The sequence below is a fragment of the Homo sapiens genome, chromosome 3 (genome assembly GCF_000001405.40).
Source record: "Homo sapiens chromosome 3, GRCh38.p14 Primary Assembly".
NCBI lineage: Eukaryota > Metazoa > Chordata > Mammalia > Primates > Hominidae > Homo > Homo sapiens.
The window spans coordinates 128,917,481-128,940,237 of record NC_000003.12 but is presented as its reverse complement, the minus strand read 5'-3'; the positions used below and the strand labels follow the sequence as shown (position 1 = coordinate 128,940,237).

The window sequence follows — 22,757 nt, the reverse complement described above, 5'->3', positions numbered from 1 at the left end:
TAGCCAAAAGATGGAAACAGCCCAAATGTCCATCAAGTAGTAAAAGGGTAAACAAATAATGGATATGCATACACTGGAATCCTATTTGGACATAAAAAGGAATGAAACACCATGACATTCTGCACTATGGATGAACCTTGAAAACATGCTGAGGAGAGGCGGCCGGCCACAAGATGTCACATATGACGTGATTCAATTTATGCGGAATGTCCAGAAGAGGCCAATCTATCAGAAAGTAGATTAGTACAGGCGTCTCCAACCCCTAGGCCATGGACCTGTACCGGTCTCTGGCCTGTTAGGAACTGGGCTGCACAGCAGGAGGTCAGCAAGCTCTGCCTGAGCTTCGCCACCTGTCAGATCAGCAGTGGCATTAGATTCTCATAGGAGCGGGAACACTTTTGTGAACTGTGCATGCGAGGGACCTAGGTTGCGCATTCCTTATGAGAATCTAATGCCTGGTGATCTGAGGTGCAACAGTTTCATCCTGAAATCATCCTCCCAACCCCGTCCGTGGAAAAATTGTCTTCCACGAAACCAGTCCGTGGTACCAAATAGGTTGGGGACCGCTGGATTGGTAGATACTTAGGGCGGTGGATCAGGGGTGGGGGTATTCAGGGGGTTGGGAGTATACGGAGCGATAGCTGAGGGGTGTGGGGTTTCTTTTTGAGGTGATGAGATGTTCTAAAATTGATGATGGTGGTGGTGGTTGCACTAAATAGATGAAAAACTATTGAATTATACTTTACAAATGGGTAAGTTGTCTGTCATGTAAATTATATCTCAATTAAAAAATAACTCTAGGCTGGGCACAGTGGCTCACGCCTGTAATCTCAGCACTTTGGGAGGCTGAGGTGGGCAATTACCCAAGGTCAGGAGTTTGAGACCAGCCTGGCCAACATGGTGAAAACCCGTCTCTACTAAAAATACAAAAGTTAGCCAGGCGTGGTGGCGCACACCTGTAATCCCAGCTACTCGGGAGGCTGAGGCAGGAGAATTGCTTGAGCCCAGGAGACAGAGGTTGTAGTGAGCCGAGATCGCGCCACTGCACTCCAGCCTGGCTGACAGAGCCAGACTCTGTCTCAGAAAAATAAATAAATAACTCTAGCAGACAAAAAAAGTTCAGTAGGGAAAGGATAAACTTTTCAATAAATGGTGTTGGGATAATTGTTTTCATAGGAAAGAAGGACAGACATCCTTAACCCCTGGCAACCACTGCTATATCTGAAAATAGACGTGATTTTTGAATGTTGATCTTATATCCTAAAGCCTTGCTGAAACTCACTGGTTCTAGGAGTTTTTGTTTTGTTTTTTGGGAGATTGCTTGGGATTTTCTACACTGACCATCATGTCATTTGCAAATAGGGATAATTACATTTCTTTCTTTCAGTCTGTATACCTTCATCTCCTTGTTGTACTGGCCTGGATGTGCAGTCCTGTTTTATATAAGAATGGTGAAGGTGGCTCACTCCTGTAATCCCAGCACTTTGGGAGGCTGAGGCGGGCGGATCACCAGGTCAGGAGATGGAGACCATCCTGGCTAACACAGTGAAACCCTGTCTCTACTAAAAATACAAAAATTAGCCGGGCGTGGTGGTGGGCGCCTGTAGTCCCAGCTACTCAGGAGGCTGAGGCAGGAGAATGGCATGAACCCGGGAGGTGGAGCTTGCAGTGAGCCGAGATCGCGCCACTGTACTCCAGCCTGGGAGACAGAGCGAGACTCCATCTCTTAAAAAAAAAAAAAAAAAAGAATGGTGAAGGCACACACACTTGCCTTGTTTCTGGTCTCTGCGGCAGAAGGCATCAGTGTTTCCCCACTATCTATGATGTTAGGTGTAGGGTTTTTGTAGATGTCCTTTATGGGTCTGAGGAAGTTCCATTCTGTTCCTAATTTGCTGGCTCACACAATTCATGAAAATCAACTCTAGTCTAGGTAGACCAAGCCCGTTTTTAAACTTTTAACTTTGTCGTTTTTTTGAGCTTTTTCTTTCTTTTTCTTTCTTTTTATTGAGACAGGGTTTATTGCTGTTACCCAGGCTGGAGTGCAGTGGTGCGATCACAATTCACTGCAGCCTTGACCCCCCCACCTCAAGCAATCCTCCCACCTCAGCCTCTCAAGTAGCTGGGACCGACAAGCATGTGCCACCATGCCCAGCTAATTTTTTTTTCTTTTGTTTGAAACAGAGTCTCACGCTGTTGCCCAGGCTGGAGTGCAATGGTGCGATCTCGGCTCACTGCAACCTCTGCCTCCTGGGTTCAAGCAACTCTCCTGCCTCAACCTCCATAGTAGCTGAGATTACAGGCACCTACCACCATGCTCAGCTAATTTTTTGTATTTGTAGTAGAGACAGGGTTTTGCCATGTTGGGAAGGCTGGTCTCGAACTCCTGACCTCAGGTGATCCACCTGCCTCTCAGCCTCCCAAAGTGCTGGGATTACAGGTGTGAGCCAGTGCACCTGGCCTAAACTTTTAACTTTGAAATTGCAAAAATAGTGGAGAGGTTGCATGTACTCATTACTCAACCTCCCCCAATGGTGACATCTTATATAACTACTGTTGATTGACACAGTACAACTAAGTAGACTACAATGATCTGATCTTACTCAGATTTCACCAGAAAAATCTTTTTTTTTTTTGGATATGGAGTCTCGCTCTGTCGCCCAAGCTGGAGTGCTGTGGTGCGATCTCAGCTCACCCACCGCAAGCTCCGCCTCCTGAGTTCACGCCATTCTCCTGCCTCAGCCTCCCAAGTAGCTGGAACTACAGGCACCCGCCACTGCGCCCAGCTAATTTTTTGTATTTTTAGTAGAGACGGGGTTTCACCTTGGTCTCGATCTCCTGACCTCGTGATCTGCCCACCTCGGCCTCCCATAGTACTGGGATTACAGGCGTAAACCACTACGCGTGGTTTTTTTTTTTTTTTTTTTTGAGACAGGGTCTATCTCTGTCACCCAGGCTGAGTGGTACAAAGGCTCACTGCAGCGGTACAAGGGCTCACTGCAACCTCTACCTCCAGGGGTCAAGCCATCCTCCCATCTCAGCCTCCCAGGCAGCTAGGACTACAGGTGTGCACCACCATGCCCAGATTATTTTTGTATTTTTTGTAGAGATGGGGTTTCACCAGGTTGCCAAGGCTGGTCTCCTACTCCTGGACTCAAGCAACCTGCCCACCTCGACCTCCCAAAGTGAAAAATCTGTTTTTGGAAAGCAAAATTAAAAAGCTTATAGATGAAAATATAGAAGAACATATTCATGACCCCAGAATGGAGAAAGAGTTCTTGAACCTTGAACCAGACAAGGACAAAGAAGAAAAGAATCGTACATTTGGCAACGTTAAAAGTAACTTCTGCTCATCAAAAGACACTGTCAAAGTCAAAATACAGAGATGAATCTCTAAATTTAAAAATTTTATTTGGGAAGCAAGAATTACAATTTGAGGTACACACACAGACTGGGCAGTCTTCAGTATGTCTGAAAAACAGAAGGTTGGAGGTTTTATAACAAGGAGGGGCATTATAAAAATGTTAGGTATTGTTTTGAGAATTTGGGGCACTGGCAACCTCTGACTGGTGAGTGCCAGTGAGTAAAAGTAGTCTTGGAGTCGCAGCAGGTGGTGTCAGTAGCTATAAGATAAGACTGGCTTCAGGTTGGAGCAGGCAGCCTCAGCAGCCAGGCTGCAGAGAATGACATTCCTGGAGCAGTGCTACGTGCCCTGGGTGCTTTCTCCCCGCCTGTCGACTCTGTTTTAGTTGGGTGTGATGAGAATGACCCAATGCATGTGCTCAACTTTCACAACACCATAAAAGTCATGAAAAGACAAGCTACAAACAAAATTATTTGCAGTGTCTGGAACTGACCAATAATTAGTATCCTAAATATATTTTTTAAAGTCCTGTGAATCAATAAGAAAAACTCCCAGTGGAAAGAAAGTATGGGCAAAATACCCAAACCAATACTTCACAAAAGAGGACCTACCCCTGACCAAGCACACAGATTCCTGAAGGGGAGATGAAGGCATTGTAGACTTCACCAGGTTCAAAAAGGCAGAGGAATGGCATAGGCCAGTGCAGGGCAATGACAGCAGGCTGTGCATAGAAACCCTGCCAGGCTGGTATTGCCACAGTGCAGACCGCGAGTGCCAGGGCAGGGCTTGGAGGGGTGGTGAGGGGCTGAGTGGGGGCAGGAAGGGGGGTGAGACAGGCACAGGCCATGAGCCAGATCAGGTCAGTTTCAGCCTTTCACTGCCAGCTCTCTGTCAAGGTCCCAGGTGTTGAAAGATGTTGTGTCTACCAGGAGGCATTCATCATCATCATATTCCTTTTGTTTTTTTTCTATCCTTTTAGTTAATTTTTTATACTTCTAAATTGCTATTATTTTTATCTTAGTATAGTCTTCATTACCAACCTTGTCTTTTGTTGTTTTGAGACAGGGTCTCACTCTGTTGTCCGGGCTAGAGTACAGTGGTGCCATCAGGGCTCGCTGCAGCCTCCACCTGCCTGGGCTTGTTTTTTTGTTTTGTTTTTGTTTTGAGACGGAGTTTCGCTCTTGTTACCCAGGCTGGAGTGCAATGTCGCGATCTTGGCTCACCACAACCTCCGCCTCCTAGGTTCAAGTGATTCTACTGCCTCAGCCTCCCCAGTAGCTGGGATTACAGACATGTGCCACCACGCCCGGCTAATTTTGTATTTTTTACTAGAGATGGGGTTTCTCCATGTTCGTCAGGCTGGTCTCGAACTCCCGACCTCATGTGATCTGCCCACCTCAGCCTCCCAAAGTGCTGGGATTATAGGCGTGAGTCACCATACCCGGCCCCTGGGTTTGTTTTTAAATAACATAAAAGCTGTACCTGACAGCGCACCCTCACCACGGTGTCCCAGGAAGCTGCCATGCAAGTTAGCTCTTGGCCTTCTGTCTCTTGCAGGATTCCCAGGTCAGAACACAGGAAATACAAGGTGCTGTACAACTCACAGCTGCTGTTCCGCAGCCGGCTCTATGGGGACCTGGAGGCCATCCTGTACCACGTGCACCTCTTCCAGCCCACGGAGCTGCTGCTGCAGCAGGCGGTGTTCTTCCTGCGAGACACTGAGCGGAGGCGGGTCTTCCAGGCTCTAGCCAGGTGGGCAGTGGCAGCTCGCATGTGGTCCTGCGCCCCGGCGGGAGGGGCACTTCTTAACACTCTGCACCCAAACAGGCAAGCTGGGGCATCCAACAACTAGATAGTGGCCCCAACAGATGGTGGGGGGAGGAGGACCATCCGCCCAGATGCTGTGACTCTGTGGCGTCTACTGTTCTTGGGGCATGTCCTAGAATTGCCTGAGGAGGGAGTGGCTGGTTAAAACCCATTTTCTAACCTGGGCAACAGAGCGAGACCTCATCTCCACAAAAATTTGTTAAAAATTAGCCAGGTGTGGGCTGGGCACAGTGGCTCACACCTGTAATCCCAGCACTTTGGGAGGCTGAGGTGGGAGGATGGCTTGAGCCCCGGAGTTTGAGACCAGCCTAGGCAACATAGTGAGACCCCATCTCTACTAAAAATACAAAAATTAGCCAGGTGTAGTGGTGCACGCCTGTAATCCCATCTACTTGGGAGACTGAGGCAGGAGAATCTCTTGAACCTGGAAGGCAGAGATTGCAGTGAGCTGAGACCGAGCCACTGTACTCCAGCCTGGGCGACAGTGAGACTTCCATCTCAGAAACAAACAAACAAACAAAAGCAAAAACAGGCCGGATGCGGTGGCTCATGCCTGTAATCCCAACACTTTGAGAGGCCAAGGCGGGTGGATCACCTGAGGTCGGCAGTTCGAGACCAGCCTGACCAACATGGAGAAACCCCATCTCTACTAAAAATACAAAATTAGCCAGGCATGGTGGCGCATGCCTGTAATCCCAGCTACTCGGGAGGCTGAGGCAGGAGAATCACTTGAACCTGGGAGGTGGAGGTTGCAGTGAGCCGAGATTGCGTCATTGCACTCCAGCCTGGGCAACCAGGGTCTCACCATTCCCTCATTGAGCAGCTGCTGGCTCACACTGGCTCTAGGGGGCCTGTGGGCACACCAGTCCCCACTCTCAGGAGGCTACAGTTCAGAAGCAGAGATGACATAAAGAACACAGGCAGTGGGATACCCTGGGACCCAGCGGGGGCACGGAGGAGGGGGCTGCTTCTTTCCCCAGGGCAGGAGAGGCTGCTGTTGAGGAAGGGCCAGAGATGTTCAGCAGGCAGACAGTTCACTTGCTGCTGGGTGTGGGGCAGGAGGTACAAACCCTGTCTTTATATTTTTAGAGCCAGCAACAGGTCTGGCCCTAGCTAGTGCTTGCTGGATGTATTAATGAAGGAGGAGGAGGAGGCTGGAGAGATAGGAAGGAGAAAGAACTTGGTCGGGGCTAAGAGGCTTTTCTTTGATTCTGTGGCCCTCACCTTTGGCATGTGGGGTGGTGCCACAGCATTTGGAAGGAGGCCAGACCCGGTCCTGCCTGGTAGGTGACAGGAGGTAGCTGAGGGTTCTATGAAGGAAACAGAAGAACACTTTTTAGGAAGTGCTTACTGCATCCAAGGTAGCTGCATCCATATGGCTTTATTTCTGTCTGAGGGTGAGGAAACCAGATTCAGAAAGGCTAAGGCTGGGCCAGGGTCACTGGGACAGTGAGTGCAAAGGCAGGCACCTACCGCACAGTGGACTTCGGAGGCAGCTGAGACAGTGAGCCGCCAACAGCCATGACTGAGCATGGTTTCTGGACCCAATGCCCACTGCACACCAGGCCATGGCAGAGGGCACCCAGGAGGAGGCTTTGGGGCTGGGGAGGTCCTTGAGCTTTGCTGAGGACTCTCTCTCCAGCCTCCTCCTTCTCCTCTATTAACAGCCAGCCCCCTGAGGCTCGGTGTATGATGTCCTCCTGGTGCGGAAGGCTCTGTGCTCTACATCCCTGATGGGCAGCTGGTGGGGCTGTGTCCCGATGGGGTATGGGAGGAGGGGAAGCATGGCTAAGGACACAGGAACAGAGCAGCACTCAGAGCAAACCGTGGGCAGCCTTTGGCTTCTGGGGGCTGGGGAGAAGATGGAGAAGGAGGCTTTTGCCAGGAGCCCAGGCTCAGCAGACTGGAATTGGAGCTCTTTAGTCACAAGCTCCAGGACTTGGGACCAGCTAAGCAGCCTCTGAGTGTTCATTTCCTGCTGTAGGATGGGAGTGATTACACCTGTCTTGCAAGGTAGGAGAGGTTCAGTGGGGCAGTGGTTCTTTGTTCCAGGATCCACGACATCTGCTATAACAGCACCACCCTCTGGGACGTGACGGTGAGGGACCTGCTGCCCTCCTCTGCTATGATAAAAGACTTGAGCCAAGAGTTTGGGATGCCCCTTTCGCAAGAAGAACTCACAGATGAGAAACTGTTTGCCCTACCACCTCAGCCTGCCCCCAATCTTGAGGACTACCACAGTCGGAACTCCACCCTCACCTTAGAGATCCACGCCCACCAGGAGAAGTACCTGCAGTGGCGGAGTGCCATGCTTATGAAGAACAAAGACAAAAAGCACAGTTTCATCCAGGTGGGCCGCCTTCCTCCCCAACTTGGGGTTCCCAGGCCTCACCTGGGCGGTCCAGGCGCCTGCTGAGAGGCATAGGGCATATTCCTGAGTGGGACATTTGCCTCTGGTCGTGCCTGCGCTCCTGGCCTGGGCTACCCTGCTGGATGGGCAAGAAGTGCAGGATGTGGGGCTGAGCCATGTCAGAAACCTTCACTCCCAGTCCTAGATAACCTTGTCCTTCCTGAAAGGTGAGAAGGAATGCTATTAGCTATATTACCTTTACCATGGCTCCCAGAGTTCATTGTAGAGAAAGAACTGTGGCATGTGTGTGTGTGTGTGTGTAACATGTTGCTTACGCTGCTCAGGGCATAAGTGTCATAAGATGTCCAAGCAACATGGGACATAAACTAATCTGCATGACAGAGGGAGAGAATGGGAGACTGAGAAGCTGGTGAGGGGGTAGAAGGCTGGTGCTGTGTGGCCTGAATGGGCAAGGAGAACCTCGCTCACCCCATGCCAACCAAAAAGACATGAAAACACAGACATCTGTGGTATGACTTGGAGTTGTGTGCCTGTGGTCTGTGTGAAGGCCCTACCATCCCTGCAATTCTCCAGTTTAAAACAAAGACTCCTAGAAGCTTGTAAGCTTTGTATGTGTGCAGTCTTTATGAAAACCAAAGAACAGACTTCTTTTATGTTTTTTGAATCGGGGTCTCACTCTGTTGCCCAGGCTAGAGTACTATGACTTGATCATGGGTCACTGCAGCCTCCAACTCCTGGGCTCAAGCAGTCCTCCCACCTCGGCCTCCTGAGTAGGCAGGCATGCGCCACCACACCTGGTTAATTTTTTTTACTTTTTTTTTAGAGATTGGGTCTTGCTGTGTTGCCTAGGCTGGTCTCCAGCTCCTAGGCTCAAGGGATTCTCCTGCCTCGGCCTCCCAAAGTGTTGGGATTACAGGTGTGAGTCACTGTGCCTGGCTGTTTTTTCCATTAGTGGAAAAAACTTTTTAGCTTTTTCAAAAGAATCAGTTCTTGGATTTATCAATTCTGCTTTTTCTGTTTTTCTAATTCATTAACTTCAGCTTTTATTTTTATGATACTTTAAAACTTACACCTTTCTCCTTTTTTCTATCTTCTCTAGTTGGCTATTTCATTCATTTTTATTTCTCTTGTGTAATATATATATATATATACACATACATACATATATATACATATATACATATACATACATACATATATATACATGTATGTGTATATATATATACACACATATATATATCTCATACCACTTTGGGAGGCCGAGGTGGGCAGGTTGCTTAAGCTCAGGAGTTCGAGACCAGCCTGGGCAACATGGCGAAACCGTCTCTACAGAAAATTAGCTGGGCATGCTGGCATGTACTTGTAGTCCCAGCTACTCAGGAGACTGAAGCTTGAGCCTGGGAAGCACAGGTTGCAGTGAGCTGAGATCACGCCATTACATTCCAGCCTGGATGGCAGAGTGAGACCCTGTCTCAATGCGGCACAGTGCCTAATGCCTGTAATCCCAGCATTTTGGGAGGTTGAGGCGGTCAGATCCCTTGAGGCCAGGAGTTCGAAACCAGCCTGGCCAACATGGCAAAACCCGTCTCTACTAAAAATACTAAAATTAGCTGGGTGTCGTGGTGCACACTTGTAATCTCATCTACTTGGGAGGCTGAAGCAGGAGAATCACTTGAATCTGGGAGGTAAGGTTGCAGTGAGCCAAGATCGCGCCACTGCATTCCAGCACTCAGAGCAACAGAATGAGACCCTGTCTCAAAAAAACAAACAAACAAAAAAAGTCAAACAATGTTGAGAGTATTTGCAGTCTTCCTTATCCTACCTCTTAATGCACTTAGATATGTACAAGAATATATATTCATTTCATGGGTTAATATAATTTTGTTAATGCCACATAACAAGGAAGTGTTTTAAATTTATTTTTATTTTTGAGACAGTCTTGCTCTGATGCCCAGGCTCGAGTGTAGTGGCGTGATCTCGGCTCACTGCGGTATCTGCCTCCCAGGCTCAAGTGATTCTCCTGCCTCAGCCTCCTGAGTAGCTGGGATTACAGGCACACACCACCATGCCTGCCTAATTTTTGTATTTTTAGTAGAGATGGGGTTTCGCCATGTTGCCCAGGCTGGTCTCGAACTCCTGGCCTCAAGTGATCCACCTCAGCCTCCCAAAGAGCTAGGATTACAGGTGACCACGCCTGGCCATGAGGAAGGGTTTTTAAAGATTTTGCAGGGCCAGGCACAGTACTCACACCTGTAATCCCAGCACTTTGGGAGGCTGAGGCAGGCGGATCATGAAATCAGGAGATCGAGACCATCCTGGCTAACACAATGAAACCCCATCTCTACTAAAAATACAAAAAAATTAGCTGGGCGTGGTGGCGGGCACCTGTAGTCCCAGCTACTTGGGAGGCTGAGACAGGAGAATGGCGTGAACCCAGGAGGCAGAGGTTGCAGTGAGCCAAATTCACGCCACTGCACTCCAGCCTGGGCGACAGAGCGAGACTCCATCTCAAAAAAAATGCAATAATATGGAGAATTTTATAATATAGTAGTATACAATTTATTTACTAGCCCCCTATCTCTTACAAATTTGCTAAAATCTCTTGTAAATATTGTTCCAGCTTTTTAAAAAATCATGTTCCTATTATCTTAGATATGGCTACTCTAAAATGGCTTTAAATTTCCTATTCATACTATAATAATTGAAACCCAACCATAATTTAATTTTTTCACATTTTTACACCTTGAGATATAATTTACATACCATAAAATTCACCTATTGTAAGTATATATAAATCAGTAGTTTTTAGTAAATTTATAGTTATAACACCATCATCACAATCCAGTTTTAGAACATTTCCATCACCACAAAAAGTATTCTCATGCTAGTTTACAGTCAATCTCTGCTCCATTCTTAGTCCCACATAACCACTGATCTACTTTCTGTCTTGATAGATTTGACTTGTCTGAATATTTCAGGTAATTGGAACCATATAATTATGTAAACTTTTGTGTCTGGCTTCTTTCACTGAGCATAAAGTTCCTGTGGTTCATCCACGTACCTGAATATATCAGCGGTGTGTTCTTTTTTTATTGCTAAATATTATTCCATTGAATTGATGTACCACATTTATCCATTCACCACTTTTTGGAATTACTATTATTTCTTGCTTGGGGCTATTATAAATATTGCTCCTATAAACATTTGCATACAAATCATTACGTGAAAATATGTTTTCATTTCTCTTGGGTAGAACCTAGGAGTGGAATTGCTGGGTCATATAGGTAGGTTTATATTTATGATTTTAAGAAATTACATTGTAAGAAAAGCGGTTTTTACAGTGTAGTTGCACAATCTTAACATCCCTACCAGCAATGCATGAGGGTTCTAGTTTCTCTGCATTCATACAAACACTTATCCGTCCTTTTGATTATAGCCATTCTAGTGTGTATCTCATGATTTTAATTTGCATTTTATAATGACTGACGATGCTAGATATCTTTTAATGTGCTTATTAGGAATTTATAACGCTTCTTTGATGTAATATATATTTGTATCTTTTTGAATTAATCTCTTTTTTCAAATTGAGACAGGGTCTCACTGTGTTACCCAGGCTGGTCTTGAACCCCTTGGGCTCAGGCAGTCCTCCCACGTTGGCTTCCCGAAGTGCTGGGATTACAGTTATGAGTCACTGTGCCTGGCCATCTGTATCATTTATCCATTTTAAAATCAAGTTGTCTTTTTATTGTTGAGTTGTTATATATTCTGGATACAAGTACTTAATGAGAAATATGATTTGCAAATATTTTCTCCATATTTGTGGCTTTTCTTTTTTTTCTTAATGGTATAAGAAAATTTTGAAGTATAAAAGTTCTTAATTTTAATAAATTCCAATTTATGTTTTTTCTGTTAGCAATCATGCTTTTGGTGTTATAGTTAAGGACTCTGCTTAAAGTTACGAAGATCATTTCATATCCTTTCTCTTACACTTACTCTTAGCTCTCACATTTAGATCTGTGAACCATTTTTTTTGAGGTCCAATGTAAGGGTCTAAATTAATCTTTTTGCATATGGATATCCAGTTGTCCTCACATCATTTCTTGCAAAGACTAGCTATTCCCCCATTAAATTGACTTAGCATCTTTTTGTCAAGAATTGACCATAAATGTAAGGGTGTATATCTGAGTTCTAAACTATGTTCCATTAACTTATATGCCTCTCCATATACCAGCAACACATTGTCTTGATGACTTTAATTATAGTTAGTTAGTTGGATTGTGTAAGTCCTTTAACTTTGTTCTTTTTCAAAATTGCTTTGACTACTTTGGGTCCTTTGCATTTCCACATATATTTTAAGATCAGCTTGCCAATTTCTGCAACAAATTCTATAGGAATTTCATGGGGATTTTGTTTATTTATTTTTTTTGGGACGGAGTCTTGCTCTGTCACCCAGGCTGGAGTGCAGTGGCACGATCTCGGCTCACTGCAAGCTTGGCCTCCCAGGTTCACGCCATTCTCCTGCCTCAGCCTCCCAAGTAGCTGGGACTACACATACCCGCCACCACTCCCGGCTAATTTTTTGTATTTTTTAGTAGAGACGGGGTTTCACCATGTTAGCCAGGATGGGGTCAATCTCTTGACCTTGTGATCCGCCTGCCTTGGCCTCCCAAAGTGCTGGGATTACAGGCTTGAGCCACCGCACCTGGCGGGGATTTTATTGAATCTATAGATTGATTTGGGAAAAACTGCCAAACTTAACAATTTTGGGGTTGCCAATTTATGAACATGGAATGTCTCTGCTGTTATTTAGGTCTTCAGTTTTCCTCAGAGATTTCTGTAGTTCTTAGTGTGCAAGTCTTGCACTTCTTTTGTGAAATTAATGGTGTTATGAATTGAATTACTTTTTGTATTGTTTCCATAATATAGAAATAGAATTAATTTTTTTTTTTTTTTTTGAGACAGAGTCTTGCTCAGTCGCCCAGGCTGGAGTGCAGTGGCACAATCTCCGCTCACTGCAAGCTCCGCCTCCTGGGTTCACGCCATTCTCCTGCCTCAGCTTCCTGAGTAGCTGGGACTACAGGCGCCCGCCACCACGCCCAGCTAATTTTGTTTTGTATTTTTACTAGAGACAGGGTTTCACCATGTTAGCCAGGATGGTCTCGATCTCCTGACCTCGTTGATCCACCCGCCTCGGCCTCCCAAAGTGCTGGGATTACAGGTGTGAGCCACCGCGCCCGGCCCTAGAATTAATTTTTTGTCCATTGATCTTGTATCTTACAACCTTTTGAACTGGATCACGTCATCTGTGAAGAAAGGTCATTTTCTTTTCCAATCTGGATACTCTTCCTTCCTTCCTTTCCTTCTGCCTGGGGTGCCACAAGCTCAGAGGCTCAAACAACAGAAAATTATTTCCTCACTATTCTGGAGGCTGGAACGTCCAAAATTAAGAGTCTGACAAGTTCGGTTTAATTCTGAGGCCTTTTCTCTTGGCTTGTAGGTGGCCACCATCTTGCTGCGTACTCATATGATCTCTTTGTTGTGTGTGAATGGAGAGAGTCTCTAATATCTCTCTCTTTTTTTTCTTTTGAGACAGAGTCTTGCTTTGTCACCAAGCTGGAGTGCAGTGGTGCAATCTCGGCTCACTGCAACCTCCACCTCCCGGGTTCAAACCATTCTCCTGCCTCAGCCTCTCAAGTAGCTGGGACTACAAGCATGCGCCACCACACCCAGCTAATTTTTGTATTTTTAGTAGAGACAGGGTTTCACCATGTTGGCCACACTGGTCTCAATCTCCTGACCTTGTGATCTGCCCGCCTCAGCCTACCAAAGTGCTGGGATTACAGGTGTGAGCAACCTCGCCCAGCCTCTGATGTCTCTTCTTGCAAAGACACTAATCCTATCAGATCTGGGCCCCAACCTTATGACCTCATTTAACCTTAATTACTTCCCTACTCCAAATAGAGCCAGGCTGGGGTTTAGAGCTTCAGTAGAGGAATTTGAGGGTGAAGACATTCAGTCCATAACACTTCCTTTCCTTGCTCTTTTCTTCCTTCTCTGTCCTTCCCTTTCTCCCTTTGCATTGTCTAGAATGTCTGGTATAAAGAAGTGCAGTGTTGAAGAGGAGTGGTGAGAGCAGACATGCTTGCCTTGCTTGTGATCTTGGGGAGAAAGTATTCAGGCTTTCTCCCCAAGCCTGAATGCAGTGGTGTGATCTCAGCTCACTGCAACTTCTGCCTCCTGGGTTCAAGCAGTTCTCCCTGCTTCAGCCTCCTGAGTGGCTGGAACTACAGGTGTGTGCCACCATGCCTGGCTAATTTTTGTATTTTTAGAGACAGGGTTTCACCATATTGGCCAGGCTGGTCTTGAACTCCTAACCTCAGGTGATTCACCTGTCTCAGCCTTCCAAAAGTGCTGGGATTACAGGCTACAGGCGTGAGCCACCATGCCCAGCCACATTCAGGCTTTAATGTCTGTCTCTCTCTCAATAATGTTGAGCACCTTTTCACGATTGGCTATTTGGATATCTCCTTTTATAAAGTGCTTGTTCAAATTTATTTATTTTCTCCATTTAAAATAAATCTAGTTGTATTTTTCTAATTGACAGTGTTTTACTTTTATTCAAATGAGTTGTTAGATGTGTATCTTTTCCCAGTCTGTGACTCGTCTTTTCATTGTTTCAGTATTGAGAAGTGTTTGTGAGTATCAGTTAATTTTTCTGTGATTAGATTTTTTGGGTATTTTTCCTGGGTTTAGAATTCTAGCTTGGCAGTTATTAACACTTTAAAGACATCATTCCGTTGTCCTCTGACTTCCATTGTTTCTGTTGGTCAGCTGCCAGTCTTGTTCTTTTGAAGATAATTTGGTTGTCTCTGGCTGCTTAAATTTTTTGTTTTTATTTTCTTTGGTTTTCGGCAGTTTTATGATGATGTTTGTAGGTGTGTTTTTCTTTGTATTTAACTTGCCATGGGTTTCTAGAACTTGTTAAATCTGTAGCTTGATTTTTTTTAAGTTTTAAAAGTTCTAGGACAGTATTTCTCTTCAGATATTACTTATATTCATCTTCTCTTCCTCTCCTCCTGGGACTCCAATGTTAGATATTTTCACCATGATCTGCATCTGATATTACTTATACATCTCATACTTTTTATTTTACAGTCTTTTTTTCTCCTTTTCATCCTTCAACCTGATTATTTTCAACCAATATATCTTCTGATGCAGGGGTCCCCAACCCCCAGGCTATGGAACAGTAGCAGTTCGAGGCCTGTTAGAAACTGGGTGGCACAACAGGAGGTGAGAGTGGGCAAGTGAGCATTACCACCTGAGCTCCACCTCCTGTCAGATCAGTGGTGGCATTAGATTCTCATAAGAGCATGAATACTATTGTGAACTGAACATGCAAGGGTTCTAGGTTGCATGTTCCTTATGAGACTCTAACCAATGCCTGATGAGCTGAGGTGGAACAGTTTCATCCCCAAACCATGCCCATACAACCCTCTCCCACTGGCCATGGAAAAACTGTCTTCCACGAAACCAGTCCCTGGTGCCAAAAAGGTTGGAAACTGCTATTTTGCTAAATCACTAATCTTATCCCCTGCTGTATGTTGGGGTGATCAGACCCAACACCAGGCTGTGGGGGCCACAAAGTCCAGCGGAGTCAAAGGAATGAGACAAAACAAGTTAAGAGTGCATAAAGTGGGACTAGGGGGCCAGTGCTAGTATGGAGGCTGTGAAGGTCCCAAGTTCTGGAAGCCTGCACTATTTATTGGTGATCAAACAAAGAAGCAGGTGGTGAGGATGTGGGGGTTGAAAGAAAGCAGTGTATCAGCACATGATCTATAGCTGTGACAGTTTAGCATTTTCTTTGAAGCATGTGGAACATGTTCTGCTACTTGAGATAATGGGAAACATGTTCTTCTAGTTTAAGATACAATCGGTCGGGCGTGGTGGCTCACGCCTATAATCCCAGCACTTTGGGAGGCTGAGGCAGGCAGATCACCTGAGGTTGGGAGTTCGGGACTAGCCTGACCAACATGGAGAAACCCCATCTGTGCTAAAAAAAATACAAAATGAGCCGGACGTGGTGGTACATGACTGTAATCCCAGCTACTTGGGAGGCTGAGGCAGGAGAATCACATGAACCCAGGGGATGGAGGTTGCAGTGAGCCAAGATCGCGCCATTGCACTCCAGCCTGGGCAACAAGAGCGAAACTCTGTCTCAAAAAAAAAAAAAAAAAAAAAAAAAAAAAGATACAATCGTTCTATGAGCCTGGGAGTGCTAGAAGGAAGGAGCCAGCAAGTCTAGACACATTCCAGAGGCCGCAAGGGGTTTTATGCCCTGAGCCCTGGATTCCATCCAAGCCATGAGGGGTTTTGTGCCCTGGGCTTAGATTGTGGTGCAGCAGGGCAGCCTTCCACCCTTTGGCACAGAGCTTGGTGTTCCAAAGGCCATGAGGGGTTTTGGACCCTGGACCCCAGACATGTTCCAAGACTCTTTTACATTATATCAGACATGCAAGTCCTGCCTCAGCTTTTTTCCCAACACTCAGCTTTTCCCCAACATGCCCCCTTTTCTTTTTTGTAAAACCGCCACAGCTATCATAGCTTGTTCTCGACGGCAGCTGTCTCTCCCGAGGTGGCTTCCGCATCTGCAGACTAAAAGGAGACAGCACAAACACATAATTATTAGAACAAAATCTGCCAAGTATAGAGCTTCCAATGGCCTTAATCCATTTAAGAGGATTGATTGTGGACAACCCATTGGCTGTCTTGTTCAAAATATCAGTTCCAGGGAGCAGGGCTAAGTGAGCCTGAGAGGCTTCAAAAACCTTCTCTTTTAGTTTTACAATATCAAGGGTGAGATTTTCATCTTTGCCCTCCAGATGGCATTTAAGAGTAACATTTCCTATTGCTAGCATAAAAGGTGGCCGAACACAACTTTGAATCCAAAAGGTCTTTCTGTTTTTAAATTAATTGAGCAAGGCAATTGCAGGCTGTTCAGCCCTTAATTGCCAGTTGGTGATCCAGCTTCATTTGTCTTAGCCCTTATTCAAAATGTAGTCGCTCTGGTTTGAATGCTTCTTACATATTTCCCCCTTCCCTTTTACAAAAGGACCTTTAATCCTAAGGGCTGCAGAAGGATGAAGGTCCATCTTCTGCAACTTCTTCATGCTGAACAGGGGCGATGATATTCCTGCCTATTAGGGTCTCTTGTATTCAGGGTAGAGAGGAGCTCAGTCAGAAAGCATTGGTCCATTAAGCATCTGTTGTGCCCCTGAGTTCCTGCAAAAGGTAAAACCCTGGCGCTGCAGCAGTTTCTCAGCTTCCTGTGTGGTTTTCTTGATCTGCCCCCATGTTATGGGGGTTGATGTCAGCGTGACTCCAGTCGGTCCTCATTCCATCTTCGCATTCAGATTCAACTGGCCCATGGCTCGTACTGGGGGAACCCCCTCCATGGTTGGGTCCCTCCAGTCTCCTGTTCCATGGTCGTACACATCTTGAGGGCACCCACACGGCTTGTTCATCTCCTGCAAAAACACAAGCATACCCTCAACCCCACGTTAGTAAATCTAGCGAAACAGAAGCAAAAACTTTTGTGGCTGTAGCTGGGAGGCATACCATTGGTGAAGCATTTGTTCTACAAGCTGTAACTCAGCTTCTGCCTCTTTGGTTAATTACCATGGGGTAAAACTTTCCACTGATAATGAGAAGCAGGCCCCTTCTAACAGAAGGCACAGAGAGCAAATCGAAGCTTATCCTTCTTGTGCAACAGTATAGCAAAAAAGCAATCCTTAAACCTTAAATTTGCACCATACAGGTGGGTCCACTAGATGCTGTGGCTCATGATAGATCTTCAGATGTTTGGTGGGCACTCCATTGTTGCAATAAGTCTCTACCTCATAAATTGATAGGAATAGGTGTAATAATAGGTTGAATTGTTCCTTCCTGGCCATCTGGCCCGTGACATGGTAAAATCAAGGAACTTTGAAAAACTTCTGAAGCAGGCCCTATGCCAGTGATACCCATGGAAGTCTTTTGTTTGGGCCAGTGTTGGGGCCATTGATTTAAAGCAATAATAGAGACATCAGCTTCAGTATTTACTAGTCCTTCAAAATCCTTTCCCTGAATAGTTACTGTACAAATAGGTCTTCTGTCAGACACTAGATTAACCCAATATACAGCCTTTCCTGCTGGATTACTACCAAAGCCTCCTGTTCTTTTCACTGTGCTGCTTCCTAGTTTTGTGTAAGGTAACAGCAATAACTAAGCAATTCTTTCTCCTGGGGAAGAAGACCACTGAGTCGAGGAACTAATAACTAATTGAATTTTTTTTTTTTTTGAGATGGAGCCTTGCTCTATTGCCCAGGCTGGAGTGCAGTGGCACGATCTTGACTCACTGCAAGCTCCACCTCCTGGGTTCACTCCATTCTCCTGCCTCAGCCTCCCTGAGAGCTGGGACTACAGGTGCCCGCCACCATGCCCAGCTAATTTTTTTTTTGTATTTTTAGTAGAGACGGGGTTTCACCGTGTTAGCCAGAATGGTCTCGATCTCCTGACCTCGTGATCTGCCCACCTCAGCCTCCCAAAGTGCTAGGATTACAGGCATGAGCCACCGCGCCCAGCAAACTAATTGAATTTCTCCGGTATAATCAGAGTCAATTATTCCCGTATGCACTGACACCTCTTAAATTTAAACTAGACCTTCCAAGTAACAGACCAACTGTTCCTGAGGGTAAGGGTTCCCTAACACCCGTGGGGACCTTCTTTGGTGGCTCCCCAGGAAGGAGATGGGAATTGTGCTGCAAAGGTCTATAGCAGCACTGCCTACTATGGTGGGAGACAATTGTTGTATGTTTGTAAGGGCACTGGCTGTGCCGGATATGCCTTGGTTTGTTGAGGGGCCTGAGGCAGGCCCCTCTTCCCATTTCCCGAAAGAGGTTGTCCATCTTTGCTAAATTTAGAATGACACTGATTTGCCCAGTGATTGCCTTTCTTACACTGGGGGCATACACTGGGACTTTTCTGTTGATTGATGGTAGTTTTTGCCTTTTGATTTCCTTTTCTACATTCCTTTTTTCTGTGTCCAAATTGCCCACAATTGAAACAATGGCCCAAGAAATGGGGCATATTCTTTCCTACTTTCAATCCAGCCATAGCCTGAGCTAAAAGATTAGCCTTATGTAAGTTACCTCCAATGCCATCGCAAGCCTTAATACATTCAGCTAACTGAACCTTCCCTGTCAGGGGTCTAATAGCAGTTTGACACTGCATTAGCATTATTGTATGTAAGAAGCTGTATTAAAACATCCTGAGCAGAATGTTTGCTTTCACTTTGTGCCATTGTTACCCTGGTCCTTCCGAGTGCTCAGCTTTCCTGCTGAGCTTCTTTCAGTCGTCCTCGGGTGTCCTCTGATGATGCATCCTCTTTCACACACTCTAGTGTTCCTTCACTGGGGTGTTCGTTGCCTCATATTGGGCGCCAGGAATGTTGGGGTGATCAGACCCAACTCCAGGCTGTGGGGACTATGAAGTCCGGCAGAGTCAAACAGATGAGACAAGAGTGCATAAAGTGGGACCAGGGGGCCAACACTAGTATGGAGGCTGTGAAGGCCCCGAGCTCTGGAAGCCCACACTATTTATTGGTGATCAAAGAAGCAGGTGGTGAGGATGTGGGGGTTGAAAGAAAGCAGTGTATCAAGTGCATGATCTACAGCTGTGATGGTTTAGAATTTTCTTTGAAGCATATGGAACATGTTCTGCTACTTGAGATAATGGGAAACGTATTCTTCTAGTTTAAGACACAATCGATCTATGAGCCTTGGAGTGCTAGAAGCAAGGAGCCAACAAGTCGAGACACATTCCAGAGGCCACGAGGGGTTTTATGCGCTGTTCCCTGGATTCCGTCCAAGCCACGCCCTTGTGGCTTGTGCCCTGGGCTTAGATTGTAGTGCGGCAGGGCAGCCTTCCACCCTTTGGAACAGAGCTTGGTGTTCCAAAGGCCACAAGGGGTTTTAGACCCTGGACGCCGGACATGTTCCAAGACTCTTTTACGTTACGTCAGACATGCAAGCCCTGCCTCAGCCTTTTTCCCAACACTCAGCTTTTCCCCAACACTGTGTCCAAGCTGCAATTAAACCCATCCACTGGATTGTAACTTTAATGATGATTTCTTCAATTCTATGATTTCCATTTATTTTTTCTATAGGTTCCAGGTGTCTGGTGAAATTCTCATTTTCATTTATTTTGATTAATCATAATTATTTTAATTTTTTTTTCTTGAGATGGAGTCTTGCTCTGTGGCCCAGGCTAGAGTGCAGTAGCACTATCTTGGCTCACTGCAAACTCCGCCTCCTGGGTTCAAGCAATTCTCCCTGCCTCAGCCTTCTGAATAGCTGAGATTACAGGCACCTACTGCCACACCCAGCTAATTTTTGTATATTAGTAGAAACAGGGTTTCACCATGTTGGTTAGGCTGGTCTCTAACTCCTCACCTCAGGTGATTCACCCACCTCAGCCTCCCAAAGTGCTGTGATTACAGGCATGAGCCACCATGTCCAGACTAGTTTTAATGTTCTTGTCTGATACTTCCAATATCTGGATTACCTGGGGTCTGTTTCTATTGTCTTTTTTCTTGGTTTCCATCTTTTCATCCTGTTACCTGGCATGTCTGTTATTTTTTGTTAAATGGTAAAGAGGGTATTGAAAACTATAGAGACTCTTGATGTCTTATTCCAGAGATGATAAAGCAGGAGACAGAGGACAGATAAATCTCCTTAATCAGAGTCAGGCTTGCCCTTACTCCTAAAGCAGATTTTCTGAATTCTAAACTGGAGGCCTAGAGGTACCAGGGCCCTTCCTCCTTGGCACAATTTCCAATTTTGAAATCCAATTTTGTTTCTCTAGCAATGCAGCATTTTCCAAAATACCTCCTTAGCTTCTAAACTTCTTAAGCTTCTTTTTCTGCTTATGTTCTTATTTCTGCCTTATCCATGTGCAAATTAGGAGTCAGTAAATCCCTTGAGAGAAAACTGCAAAAAGAAAATGGAACCACCATTATTTCCCTTTTCTCCAGATTCTTGGACTCTCAAATCCTGGTTGCCTTGGTTGTTCTCCAGTGATGTTAGATAGATGTCTATTTCTTCTTGTAATCCTGTCAGTTGTTTCTTAATATATTTTGAGACTATATTGCTAGGTGCATATATATTTACAAGTTATCCCTTTTTGTTGTCCTCAATATACAATATCCTTTTGCCCCTTTTGATAGATTTTTAACTTGAATTGTTTCAGCAGATATTAAGAATGCCACACAGCTTTTTTGTCTTTGTTTTCTCATGCCTTTTTGCCTAGTGTATATGCTGTCTCCCTTTAGTTGTCAAACCTGTATCTTTGTGTTGAAAGTTTTGTAGATAGCATATTGTTAGCTTGAAAAAAAAATCCAGGCTGGGTGCAGTGGCTCACGCCTGTAATCCCAACACTTTGGGAAGCTGAAGTGGGTGGATCGCTTGAAGTCTGGCGTTCGAGACCAGCCTGAACATGGTGAAACCCTGTCTCTACTAAAAATACAAAATTAGCCAGGCGTGGTGGCACACGCCTGTAATCCCAGCTACTTGGGAGGCTGAGGCAGGAGAATCACTTCATCTCGGGAGGCGGAGGTTGTAGTAAGCCAAGATCGCGCCATTCCACTCCAACCTGGGCAACAAGAGCAAAACTCTGTCTCAAAAAAAAAAAAAAAAAAAAAAAATCCAATCTGAGATTCTTTAATTGGCAAGCTTAACATTAATTACTGTTAGGTTAGGCATTTTTGCCACCTAATCTACTTTTAAACCCTCCGTTCCTGTGTTCCTTGGATAGATCAAGTTTTCTTCTGTGGACTTAAGTTATACATTCTATCTTTCTTTTTAAGGTGGTTATCCTGAAGACCATATGGTTAGGCATTCCTACTGAACATTAAACTCATAAAACTATATTCTCTTTATAAGACAAATTGTACATTTACATCCCTTTTATCTCATCTCCTACCCACACTCCACCATCCCTTTTATAGTCTCTAGAATTTCAATTCCAGGCTCTGAAATTTTATTTTCCTAGTCCTTTTAAGACAACTTTACTAGGCTATCGGACATTACTTGCTAACCTTGAATCCTCCTGCATGTTCCTCCTCCATTTTGAATTTCTCCAAAGAGTTTTGTGACTTTTGTTTTGTTTTTTTGAGACGGAGTCTGGCTCTGTCACCCAGGCTGGAGTAGAGTGGCATGATCTCGGCTCAATGCAACCTCTGCCTCCTGGATTCAAGCGATTCTCCTGCCTCAGCTTCCCAAGTGGCTGGGACTACAGGCGTGTGCCACCATGCCCAGCTAATTTTTGTATTTTTTAGTATGGAAAGGGTTTCACTGTATGTTGGCCAAGCTGGTCTTGAACTTCTGACCTCAGATGATCTGCCTGCCTAGGCTTCCCAAAGTACTGGGATTACAGGCATGAGCCACCACATCTGGCCCCAAGAGTTTTTAAAGGAGGGTTTTATGTAAAACCTAAGGCCTTTAAACCTAAGCCCTCACAATTAGTTTGCTTGGATATGAAATTGTAGGTTGAAGTTAACTTACCTTGTTGCTGTTGTGGATCTGATCACAAGTGATAGTTTTTCTTTACAGGTGGCCTGCTCTTTTCCTCTAGAAGCTTTGAGAGTTTATCTTTGTATTTGTTTGCTTAAATCCCACTAATAATAGTGTACCCAGGCTTGGAAGTTTTGTCTTTTCTGACATTCATTATTGCTTCAAATTTTCTTGTTCTCACTTTTCCCCTCCTTTTGGGATTTCTGTTATTTGGATGTTATTTCCATCCTCTATACTCAGTTTCTAATTTTATCTTTTTTATACAGGACTGCTTTCTGAAAGCATATCTCAAGTGGATATTCCAGTTCATTCATTCGTTCTACAACAGTATCACTTCTGCAATATATCTCATTCTCTTGTCTTCTATTTCAACTATTTTCATACTCAATACTTTTTCTTTTAGTTTTACTTCTGCTTCATATTGCTATCTTCACTCTTATTTTAAAACAATTTCTTATGTTAAATTCTTAGCCCATCTTTTCCAATAATTTAGCTTCAGTTGTTCAGTCTGTGGCCTTTTTTAAATACTGTATTTACTTCTCCAGCATCTAGTTACTTTTGCTCTGAGTCCAAATTCTCCTGCAGGTGTCAC

The 22,757-nt window shown here is 45.1% G+C and overlaps 1 protein-coding gene across 9 annotated transcripts in view, besides 3 other annotated features; it reads left to right on the top strand.

The window, feature by feature from the left end:
• The window catches only part of CFAP92 (cilia and flagella associated protein 92 (putative)), a 116,876-nt gene that overhangs the window by 86,511 nt on the left and 7,608 nt on the right, over positions 1-22,757 (top strand). For all 9 annotated transcript variants that reach the window (XM_017006945.2, XM_011513050.3, XM_047448638.1 and 6 more), the window contains 2 exons: positions 4,919-5,113; positions 7,241-7,538. In XM_017006945.2, coding sequence (XP_016862434.1) covers positions 4,919-5,113; positions 7,241-7,538 — 493 coding nt within the window. The remainder of the gene's footprint in view (positions 1-4,918; positions 5,114-7,240; positions 7,539-22,757) is intronic.
• Positions 4,521-5,020: an enhancer, noted in NCBI's record as "H3K4me1 hESC enhancer chr3:128654061-128654560 (GRCh37/hg19 assembly coordinates)". NCBI's record gives its function as "activates a minimal SCP1, AML or CMV promoter by ChIP-STARR-seq in naive H9 embryonic stem cells {active_cell/tissue: H9 hESC(naive)}" and the evidence as "EXISTENCE:reporter gene assay evidence [ECO:0000049][PMID:30033119]".
• Positions 5,021-5,522: an enhancer, noted in NCBI's record as "H3K4me1 hESC enhancer chr3:128653559-128654060 (GRCh37/hg19 assembly coordinates)". NCBI's record gives its function as "activates a minimal SCP1, AML or CMV promoter by ChIP-STARR-seq in naive H9 embryonic stem cells {active_cell/tissue: H9 hESC(naive)}" and the evidence as "EXISTENCE:reporter gene assay evidence [ECO:0000049][PMID:30033119]".
• Positions 7,523-8,024: an enhancer, noted in NCBI's record as "H3K27ac hESC enhancer chr3:128651057-128651558 (GRCh37/hg19 assembly coordinates)". NCBI's record gives its function as "activates a minimal SCP1, AML or CMV promoter by ChIP-STARR-seq in primed H9 embryonic stem cells {active_cell/tissue: H9 hESC(primed)}" and the evidence as "EXISTENCE:reporter gene assay evidence [ECO:0000049][PMID:30033119]".